Below are 11,246 nucleotides of genomic sequence, written 5' to 3' on the forward strand. Positions count from 1 at the left end.
TGTTAGCTCATTTCTCTTTAATGCTTAACAATATTCCGTTGTGTGGATGTACCACAGTTTATTTATCTACTCACCTACTGAAGGACATCTTGGTTCCATCAAAGTTTTGGCAGTTATGTATGAAGCTGCTGTAAATATTCATATGCAGGTTTTTGTGTGGACCTAGTTTTCAGTTCATTTGGGTAAATACCAAGGGACATGATTGCTGGATCATATGGTAAGAGTATGTTTACCTTTGTAAGAAATTGCCAAACTGTCATCCAAAGTGGCTGTACCATTTTGCATTTTTACTAGCAATGAATGGGAGTTCTTGTTGCCCCACATCCTTGCCAGCATTTGGTGTTTTGGATTTTGGCCATTCTAATAGGTAGATAGTGGTATTTTATTGTTGTTCGAATTTGCAATTCACCAATAACCTACCATGTTATACATGTTTTCATATGTTTACTTGCCATCTGTATATTTTCTTTGGTGTGGTGACTGTTAAAGTCTTGCCCATTTTTAAATTGGGTTGTTTGTCTTCTTACTCTTGAGTTTTAAGAGTTCTTTGTATGTTCGGGGTAACGGTCCTTTATCAGATATGTGTTTTGCAAATATATTCTCCCAGTCTGTGGCTTGTCTTCTCATTCTCTTGACAGTATCTTTCATAGAGCAGTATTTTTTAATTTTAACGAAGTCCAGCTTATCAATTATTTCTTTCATGGATTATGCCTTTGATTTTGTATCTGAAAAGTCATTGCTATACCTGACATTATCTCAGTTTTCTCCTATATTTTAGGAATTTTATAGTTTTTCATTTTAACGTTAAGGTCTGTGATCCATTTTGAGTTGATTTTTGTGAAGGATAGGATAGAAGCTTTTTTTTTTTTTCATGTGGATGTCCAGTTTTAGTATCATTTGTTGAAAATATATTTGCTTCACTGTATTACCTTTGCTCGTTTATCAAAGTTCAGTCGACTATCTTTATGTGGGACTATTTCTGGGGTCTCTATTCTGTTCCATTGATCGCTTTATTCTTTTGCCAATACCACACTGTCTTGATTACTATAGTTTATAGTAAATCTTGAAGTCAGGTGTGTCATTTCTTTGATTTTTTTCCTTCTCCTTCAATATTGAGTTGGTTATTCCAGGTCTTTGCTTCTTCATATAAACTGCACATGGCCAGGTGCAGTGGCTCACACCTGTAATCGCAGCACTTTGAGAGGACGAAATGGGTGGATTGCTTGAGCCCAGGAGTTTGAGAACAGCCTAGGTAACATGATGAAACCCCATTGCTATTGAAAAAAAAAAAAAGAAAAACAAACGAACAAAAAAAGACTTTACAGTCAGTTTGTTGATATCCACAAGATAAATTTCTGTGATTTTGATTGGGTGTTGAATCTGTAGATCAAATTGGGAAAAGCTGACATCTTGACTACAGTGAGCCTTTCTATCTGTGAACATGGAATATTGTTCCATTTATTTAGTTCTTCTTTGATGCCTTTCTTTGGTAGTTTTCCCCATGTAAATCTTCTACATATTTTCTTAGATTTATGCCTAAATATTTCATTTTTTTTGGATGAGAATGTAAATGTTATTATGCCTTTAATTTCAAATTCTACTTGTTCATTGTTGGTATATAGGAAGGCGATTGACTTTTGCATATTTGCATATTTGTACCCTGCAGCCTTGCTATAACTGCTTATTAGTTCCCAGAAGTTTTTTTTGTTGATTCTTTTAGATTTTCTCCATAGACAATCGTGTCATTTGTGAACAAAGAGTCTTTTTCTTTCTTCCCAATCTACGTACCTTTTGTTTCCTTTCTTATCTTGTATTAGTCTGGACTTCCAGTATGAAAGAATAGTGAGAGAGAACATCCTTGCCTTTTTCCTGATCTTAGTGCAAAAGCACTGTGTTTCTTACCATTAAGTAGGATGTTAGCTGTAGGTTTTTTGTAGATGTCCTTTATCAAGTTGAGGAAGTTCCCCTCTATTCCTAGTTTGCCAAGTTTTTATCATGTGTGTTGGATTTTGTCAAATGCTTTTTCTGCATCTGTTGATATAATATATGATCATGTGATTTTTCTTTTTTTGCCCGTTGATGTGATGGGTTACATTAATTGATTTTCAAATGTTGGACCAGGCTTGCATACCTGGGATAAATACCACTTGGTTGTGGTGTGTAATTTCTTTTTTATACATTGTTGGATTTGATTTGCTAATATTTTATTGAGGATTTTGCATCTTTTTTTTTTTTTTTTTAGCTGGAGTCTTGTTGGTTCTGTCGCCCAGGCTGGAGTGCAGTGGCATGATCTCAGCTCACTGCAACCTCTGCCTCCTGGGTTCAAGTGAGTCTCCTGCCTCAGCCTCCCGAGTAGCTGGGACTACAGGCATCTGCAACCACACCCAGCTGATTTTTGTATTTTTAGTGGAGATGGGGTTTCACCATATTGGCCAGGCTGGTCTCAAACTCCTGACTTGGTGATCTGCCTGCCTTGGCCTCTCAAAGTGCTGGTATTACAGGTCTGAGCCACCACACCCAGCTGATTTTTGCATCTTTGTTCATGAGGAATATTGGTTTGTAGCTTTCTTGTCTTGTAAGTAATTTCTTTGGTTTTGGTATTAGGGTAAATGCTGGCTTTATAGACTAAATAAGGAAATATTCCCTCTGCTTCTATCTTCTGGAAGAGATAGTAGAGAATTGTTATAATTTCTTCCTTAAATGTTTGGTAGAATTCACCAGTGGACCCATCTGAGCTTGGTGCTTTGTGTTTTGAAGGTTATTAATTATTCAGTCAATTTCCTTAATAGATATTGGCCTCTTCAGATTGTTTATTTTTGTGTGAGTTTTGGCAGATGGGGTGGGTAAAGGAATTGGTCTTTTTCATCTAGGTTGTCAAGTGTGTGGCCATAGATATTCCTTTATTAACCTTTATGTAGTTCATAATATTCCTTTATTATACTTTCAGTGTCTATGGGATCTGTAGTGATGTCTCTGTTTTCATTTCTGATATTAATAATTTGTCTTCTGTCTTCTTTTCTTTTTTATTTTTGAGACGGGTTCTTTCTCTGTTACTCAGGCTGGAGTGCAGTGGTGGGACCTTGGCTCACTGCACCCTCTGCCTCCTGGACTTAAGCAACCCTCCTGCCTCAGCCCCCTGTAGCTGGGACTACAGGACCACACCACCATGCCCAGCTAACTTTTGTATATTTTTTTTTTGTTGAGATGGGATTTCACCACGTTTCCCAAGCTGGTCTTGAACTCCTGGCTTCAAATGATCCACCACCTTGGCCTTCCAGAGTGCTGGGGTTACATGTGTGAGCCATCGTGCCTGGACTGTCTTTTTTCTTAGTCTGACTAGAGGCTTATTGATGTTATTAATCTTTTCAAAGAACTAGCTTTTGGTTTTGTTGATTTTCTCTATTGATTTCCCATTTTAAATTTCATTTATTTCTGCTCTAATTTTTACTTCTTTTCTTCTGCTTACTTTGGATTTAATTTGCTCTTCTTTTTTCTAGGTCTTATATTGGTGTACCTGTGTCCCTGGACTCTGACCTTTGCCAGTGCTTCTCAATTTTTTCCCATCTTAGGTGGGACAGGATGCCTAAAGGGGGCTGCACTGGGTATTTCTTATCTTGCATGTGGAAGAGCAGAGGGAGCTGGAATTGCATATTTCTCTTCCGACAGTTAGGTTAGGCTTTGGTAAAATAGTTTCTGCTGAGGACAGGACTTATTAAGAAGAGCAGAGTGCCCTGGCATATTTCAAAATGGTTCTTTTTTCCTGCCATCTGCCATAAGCATGAAGAGATTTTTCTCTGATATTCACTGTGAGGGTCTGGTTGAGCTCCTGGAGATAAAACTTACAAAAATGTGCCCCTGCTCAGTGATTAAGTGCCCTGGAGTTTTTACCTCTCAGAGTTGTCCACACTGACCTTCCAGCAGTTCATCAATTACAGTTTAGGTTTTTCTCCCCTGGAACTGGTTCCCACAGAGGCTTCTGCTCCACTAAGTTGTGATTCTCTGATTCTACCTGTTTGTCTCTCCAATTTTGGGGAGAATGGTTTGCCCTGTGACCTCACTTCTCTGACAGATCTAAGGAGAGTTGTTGATTTTTCAGTTTGTTCAGCTTTTTACTTGTTACTGTAGAGTCTAGAGGGGCAACTTGTAGACTACAGACTTCTTGGAAACTAGAAGTCTGACCTACTAATTTTTTGTCTCCTGGTTGTCACTTGAATCTACTTCTTTCTGTGTCCAAAATTACCATCCATGGAATCAGAATCTTTGCTTAGGGATGGTAATAGTTGGAGGCACTGGGGTTGAGAGTAAAGATTGTTGTTGAATTTAGTCACACAGTTCCTCTGTAGGTTATAATGATAACAAAGTGAATTTTTTTTTAACATGACCATATAAGAAGATTGATAAGCAGATGCTTTCTCCCTGTGAAGTCACACAGGACACTGGTGGATCTTCTTATTTGGAATGGCCCTTGATGCTCATGGCCCATTCCTATATGTCTTCTCAATGGTAAAAATCCTTCTCTGTGAGTGGATCTGAATTTTCAGGCCAGCCAAAAAAGTTTTGGAGCTAAGTTTGGCAAACTCAGTAATTTAATGAAGATAGTTGTTATTATTTTGGTTCAAAAAAATAAGACTCAGAGCAGTATATCTAGTCATAAGTTTTTGTATAAAAAAGAGGGAAGCTAAGAATACACATTTACATTTGCTTGTATGTAGAAAGAAACTCTAAAAGAATGCAGAAGAGCATAGTTACCTGTGATGAGGAGAGGGGAAAAGAACGGGGTCGATGGGATGAAGATGGATGGAGGTGGGGCATTTTCACTGAATATACCCATGTATGTATTTTCTGTTTTTAAACCATGTGAGTCTATTATCTATTGAAAAAAATTGAAATATGTTTTTAAAAGTTAGGTGTTTCTATAAAGTATTGAGATTGTTATATTTTGGAGGTTTTATAGCCTGGGTAACACCTTGACCTCTCTACCTGTGAACTTGGAACCAGCTGAGAAATAGAGATAAGAAATTAGCTGTGTGATTGATGAAGTTGATTGGGTAATGTTATTTTAGTTGATTACTCCCTTTTATTTTAAATATCTATATCTCTGAGTACCTTTTTTTTTTTTGCCTGAAATCCAACATTGAAATGAAAATTGCCACTTCCTTTTTCCTTTTGAGTTAGAGTGCCTTGTCTTTTGCATGTCCTTCTATTGTAAGATTAACAACACGTACTTTTATCTCATTTTAAAATTCCATCTAATTTCTTTTTTTGAGACAAGTTCTCACTCCATTGTCCAGGCTGGAGTGCAGTGGCATGATCATAGGTCACTGGTACTTCAAACTTCTGGGCTCAAGTGATCCTTCTGCCTCAGCCTCTTGAGTAGCTGGGGGTACAGGCATGTGCCACCATGCCTGGTTAATTTTATTTATTTATTTATTTATTATAGAGGTGAGGGTCTGCTATGTTGCCCAGGCTGGTCTTGAACCCTTGGCATCAAGTGATTCCCTTGCCTCAGCCTCCCAAAATGCTAGAATTACAGGCATGAGCCACTGCACCCAGCCTCCATCTGTAATTCTTTGTCCTTTTTAAAAATTTTATTTTAAAAATATCTTTCTCTTTCAGCAGAGATATTTAGAGCAATTGCATTTGGGGTTATAATTTTATATTTTTTTCCTGTTTTTATGCCTCCCTTTGCCTTTTAATATACAACTTGATAACTTTTATCTTTTTTTGATCATTTAAAAAGTAAGCAACCTATTTTTGATGCTTATGGGTTATTTTTTAATGTTACACAAATTTTACATAATTTATCTCTTTATGAATCAAAAATGTTTTGAACAGTGGGACTCTCATTGAAACACTTGGATCGCCACCCTGTGTTCAACAGATGGTACTCATTTGGTGGTATAAATGCTGGTCTACCTACCAAACTCACTCTGATGGCTTTCTCATCCTATTTCAAGCCATTTTGGATCTTAAAAGAGCCTGTTAGCCTCTGGACTGCAGTTGTACTCAAAATACCAAAGTGGGTCTTACTGAATTGTTGATTGGGAATTTTGACTATTTGTGTGTAGGGACTGGAATTGCATACAGAAGAGACCAGGCCCTTAAAGACAGGGGAAGAAGCTCAGAGCTTCCAGCTGCAGCCAGTGGATCCCTGGCCTGAGGGACAGTCCCAGAAGAAGGGGGTGAAGAATACATGCCCTGACCTTCCCAATCACCTAAATGCCGAGGTGGCACCACAGCCTTTGAAAGAGAGTGGTGAGTACATCTGAGAACATTAGGGAATGAGGCCTTCTGCAGGGGAGAGGGATGGGAGGTGAGGAAGGGTGCATGGGGAAGAAGGATGTGCAGAATTCAAAGCAAGGGATAGGCTGCAGTGTGGTGGGCACACTTACTGAGAAGTAAGCAAGCCTCGTAAAGAGGCTGTGCCTATCGATGATGTCATCATGCCCTGCTGTAGCTGGAGTCCTGCAGCAGGTGCAGGCTGGGACAGGGGTGGGTGGTGATCACAGGAGGTCAGGGCTGGCATCTCCCACATGGCACACCACTCACAGCAGCTTAGGAGCTACACACTCTAGAAGGGAAGTAAAGGGGAAGTCTGCACTGGCCATAGGGATAGCCCTAGCTTGATCCAAGTGTTACTTTTGGAAAGCCAATCTCAAAGGGAGGTGATTTTTTGGGAACCAGAGCTTGGGTTTCAGTGACTTTTTCTTTTCCTCAGCTGTCCTCACTCCCCGAGTCCCTACTCTCCCAAAGATGGGGAGCGTTGGAGATTGGGAGGTGACAGCTGAGTCCCAGGTAAGCTGTTACTCGTTCTTCCTTTCCTGTCATTGCTGCTCCTGTGCTCTTGCCCCCACAGTGTTCCTCCTCTCTCTCCATGACCTCTGCTCAGCAAAAGGGCATGAGGCCCAGGGTGTTAGCCTTTGCCCTTCACCCCCAGCCTGCTGGGCCCCAAACATCCCCAAACACATGTATGTACCAAATGGCCATCCTGCTCCTTATGATGCCAGCTTCACACATGGTATCCCTCTGTTCCCATCATCTTTCCTGGGAGCCTGCTAGGGTTCCTAGGCTGTTGTCAAAGGTCAGTGATGTTTGGGGTCCTTGTCTTGTGCATCTCGCAGGAAGCCCTGGGCCCTGGCAAACATGCTGAGAAGGAGCTCTGTAAAGACCCCCCAGGAGACGACTGTGGGAACAGCGTGTGCCTGGGTAAGGAGACGTACCCTCTGAAGGTGATGTTGTCATGCTTCTGATACACCCAGTTCCCAAAGAGGGTTTTGCCGCTCCTTTAAGAATCATGGCTCTGCAGTCTCTGGAATTTCAGAAATAGGAAGAAGACTTGCCCTTTGTAGCCAGCACTCTCATGGCAGGGATGGAGTCTGCCTGGAGACGGGGTGGCAGGATGGCTTCCAAGAGCCTGCCCTCTCTGGGCACATTACCTTCCTTACCTCAGTCCATTCACCACAGTCCAGGGGCCAGGCCTGGACTGCCATCTCAGAAATCTGATTTTTTTTAGCACTGTAAATAGGATCTCTCTCTCAGGCAGACTTAAGTGAACTAAACCCATGAGACCAATGAATTAAACCCAATAGGAATAAATATCACAGAGCCCAAAATACCTGAAGCCCATATAAGCAGCACAGACTCCTTTCTATGTGGGCACTCCTATGTGGCAAGCCAAATAATAGGGAGCCGTTTCCCTGTGGAGCCCGGGATCACTGTGTGGGGAGTTAGACATGTGAATAGCTGAAATAGAAAAGACTCTGATAGGCCTGACTCATGGTAAGTTTAGATACCAGAAGCTCGCTGGCTACTTGCTTGACAGTGGAACCCCTTTTTACACATGATATCTGGGGGAAATAGTGTTCAAAGGAACAGATTTTGGGAAACGGTGAATTAAATTATCCTTATACCTCTTTAAACCCTTTTCATCTAGTTTTCTTCAAATATTTATTTCAATTAAAGGCTTCCTATTTTGTTAGGGCCGGGAGCTGTTGGGATAGCAGTCCATTAAACATAGCTAACTTTTAAAAATAAGGAAATTTATTTTCTCACATTATTAGAAGTCCAGAGGAGGACATGCTCCAGCCACAGTACAGACTAGCTGAGCAATGTCTTAATGGGTCTGTGTTCTTTATTTCTGTCTGCCATCCTCAGTGTTAGCTTCATATTAAAGCTGTTTTGTTTCATGGTCAAAAGATAGATGCCAATGGTGGCAATGGATGCCTAGCAGGACAGAGACTCACTACACACACAAACACACACACACACACACACACACACACACACACCACACACCCTTTTCCTCCAGCCATGGAGTTCAGTCTAATTGGGCCAATTTAGGCCATGTGCCCATCTGTGGACCAATGAGTTACTCTTATATGATGTTTCATGTTTCATAACAACAACAACAACAAACAAATGAACAAAGTAAACAGGTCACTTAACATTTCTCATATATTGGTCGTGTTACCTCTTCTCTCTCCCTATTCCTGTAAACATTTTATGGGATCAACTTGGGAATTTCTCGTTAGCCTCTTGCAAGGAAAAGATAGAAGTTTCAGGGAGATTTTGGACAAACATGCCGCTCAACAGACCATTTCTACTCTGTCATTTCTCTTCCTTTTGTAGGAGTTCCAGTTTCAAAACCAAGTAATACCTCCGAGAAAGAGCAAGGACCAGAGTTTTGGGGTCTAAGTCTTATAAATTCTGGGAAAAGGAGCACTGCAGATTACAGCCTGGATAATGAGCCAGCTCAGGCATTGACCTGGAGGGATTCAAGAGCCTGGGAGGAACAATACCAGTGGGATGTGGAGGACATGAAGGTGTCAGGTGTTCACTGGGGCTATGAGGAGACCAAGACTTTCCTGGCAATTTTGAGTGAATCTCCTTTCTCTGAAAAGCTCCGGACTTGTCACCAGAACCGCCAGGTATATCGGGCCATTGCAGAGCAGCTAAGGGCAAGGGGCTTCCTGCGGACACTGGAGCAATGTCGCTATAGGGTCAAAAACCTCCTACGGAATTACCGGAAAGCCAAGAGCAGCCACCCACCAGGTACCTGCCCCTTCTATGAGGAGCTGGAGGCCCTGGTCAGGGCTCGGACAGCCATCAGAGCCACAGATGGCCCAGGAGAGGCCGTGGCACTTCCCAGGCTCGGGTATAGTGACGCAGAGATGGATGAGCAGGAGGAAGGGGGCTGGGATCCTGAAGAAATGGCAGAAGACTGTAACGGTGCTGGCCTGGTCAATGTTGAGTCTACCCAGGGGCCCAGGATTGCAGGGGCCCCAGCTCTGTTCCAGAGTCGTATTGGTAAGAACATGGGGGTTTAGTCAGATTCAGATTTCCAACCCTCCTACCAGCTAGACTGCTATTCCCTGAGGTCAGGGCACAGGCTGCAAGTCTGGATTGAAGCCACTAGAGTGAAGAGCTACATTCCTTAGGTCATCCTCAAACTCCAACTTTCTTTTCCCATGACCAAGTCTCTTTGCAAAAGTCTTCTTAGTTATAGAAGCAAACATTTTTAAAGCCTTAAGGGGCCTCAAAGAGTGAATCCAGTATTTCCAAAAGTGTGTCACTGGTAGTATGGGATGATCATCGACGTTACATGAATGAACTTTAAATTCTTGTATTTATATATTTCTCTTAATTTGTATGAGTGCATCAACCTGTGATTTCACAGATAACAAAGTTAGGTAAAGAGTGATGGCGAGTGAAATATTGAACAGATAATGGCAGAAATCCCGACAGTGTAGACTTGAATAATCAATGTCTGGGAAACATCCAATCATTGTAAAGGTGCAAACATGGAAGTCCATGAGATGAGGCGTCTTATAGACGCACAGGTAGGAGCAGAGCCCGGATCAGAGCCTGTGGCTCCTGCCTGCTGGTTTCACATGGTTTTCCCTCCACCATGTTGCCTTCCTGGGCTACATCACTTTCCTGCAGAGGAGCTGAGACTAGACCACCTCCTTTTCATTCCCCTGCAAAGGAGGAAAGTGTGTCCTCATTTGGCCTTTCTTGCAGGACTATTTGAAACTCATTTATGCCTCTAATCTTTAGGAATTCTCAGCTTTCATGTTTTGTTAAAAGGAGAATTTATGGCCAGGTGCGGTGGCTCACGCCTGTAATCCCAACACTTTGGGAGGCTGAGGTGGGCAGATCACGAGGTCAGGAGATCAAGACTATCCTGGCCAACATGGTGAAACCCTGTCTCTACTAAAAAAAATACAAAAATTAGCTGGGTGTGGTGGCATGCACCTGTAATCCCAGCTACTCAGGAGGCTGAGGCAGGAGAATTGCTTGAACCCAGGAGGCAGAGATTGCAGTGAGCCAGGATTGCATCGCTGCACTCCAGCCTGGCGGCAAAGCGAGACTCCGTCTCAAAAAAAAAAAAAAAAAAAAAAGGAGAATTTATAAAATAAATAGAGTACAGGTATTGAGTGAATATGGGGAAAATCACATGCATCCCAATTACAGGCCTTTCCCTGAACTAATCAGCTAAAGCCAGGCACATGGGATCACCTGATATAATTGATATAACATGGCTACTTAAGTCCTCACCTTCAGCCAAGACTTGAAGTGTTAATAGAATCTCTTAGAAGAGGGTGAGGGTGGGAAGCTCTGGCTGGCTGTCCTAGCATGCCCCTGAGAAGCAAAGGGATATTCTCCAGGTACCTGGATAGTTTCTGACATGCCTATGTTCTAGGTATTTTGAAGGGCAGGTGACTTTATTCTCTGATGACCTAGGCACATCTCATTAAGTCTCACAGTTCTCAACTCTTCACTCCTGACAGCAGGTGTGCACTGGGGCTATGAGGAGACCAAGGCCTTCCTGGCAATTCTCAGTGAGTCCCCATTCTCGGAAAAGCTTCGTACCTGTCACCAGAACAGCCAGGTGTACCGGGCCATTGCAGAGCGGCTGTGTGCTCTGGGCTTCCTGCGGACACTGGAGCAGTGTCGCTACAGATTCAAAAACCTCCTTCGAAGCTACCGGAAAGCCAAGAGCAGCCACCCACCAGGGACATGCCCTTTCTATGAGGAACTGGACTCGCTGATGAGGGCTCGGGCTGCAGTCAGGGCCATGGGGACTGTCCGAGAGGCTGCAGGTCTCCCTAGGTGTGGGCAGAGTAGTGCTGAGACTGATGCCCAGGAGGCCTGGGGTGAAGTGGCCAATGAAGATGCTGTCAAACCTTCAACCTTGTGTCCTAAAGCCCCAGACATGGGTAAGCCTGGAGTAATTGGATGTTCTC

The 11,246-nt window shown here is 42.5% G+C and overlaps 1 protein-coding gene across 14 annotated transcripts in view; it reads left to right on the top strand.

Moving 5' to 3' along the window:
• The window catches only part of ZSCAN20 (zinc finger and SCAN domain containing 20), a 28,999-nt gene that overhangs the window by 9,752 nt on the left and 8,001 nt on the right, over nt 1-11,246 (top strand). For 4 of the 14 annotated variants that reach the window (NM_001377376.1, XM_047429974.1, NM_145238.6 and 1 more), the window contains 5 exons: nt 6,069-6,255; nt 6,719-6,795; nt 7,122-7,206; nt 8,629-9,306; nt 10,791-11,219. In NM_001377376.1, coding sequence (NP_001364305.1) covers nt 6,069-6,255; nt 6,719-6,795; nt 7,122-7,206; nt 8,629-9,306; nt 10,791-11,219 — 1,456 coding nt within the window. Of the gene's footprint in view, nt 1-6,068; nt 6,256-6,717; nt 6,796-7,121; nt 7,207-8,628; nt 9,307-10,790; nt 11,220-11,246 lie in introns of those variants that run through there. The other 10 variants (NM_001377377.1, XM_017002238.2, XM_047429970.1 and 7 more) reach the window with 6 other exon arrangements.

The sequence above is a fragment of the Homo sapiens genome, chromosome 1 (genome assembly GCF_000001405.40).
Source record: "Homo sapiens chromosome 1, GRCh38.p14 Primary Assembly".
NCBI classification, from domain to species: domain Eukaryota; kingdom Metazoa; phylum Chordata; class Mammalia; order Primates; family Hominidae; genus Homo; species Homo sapiens.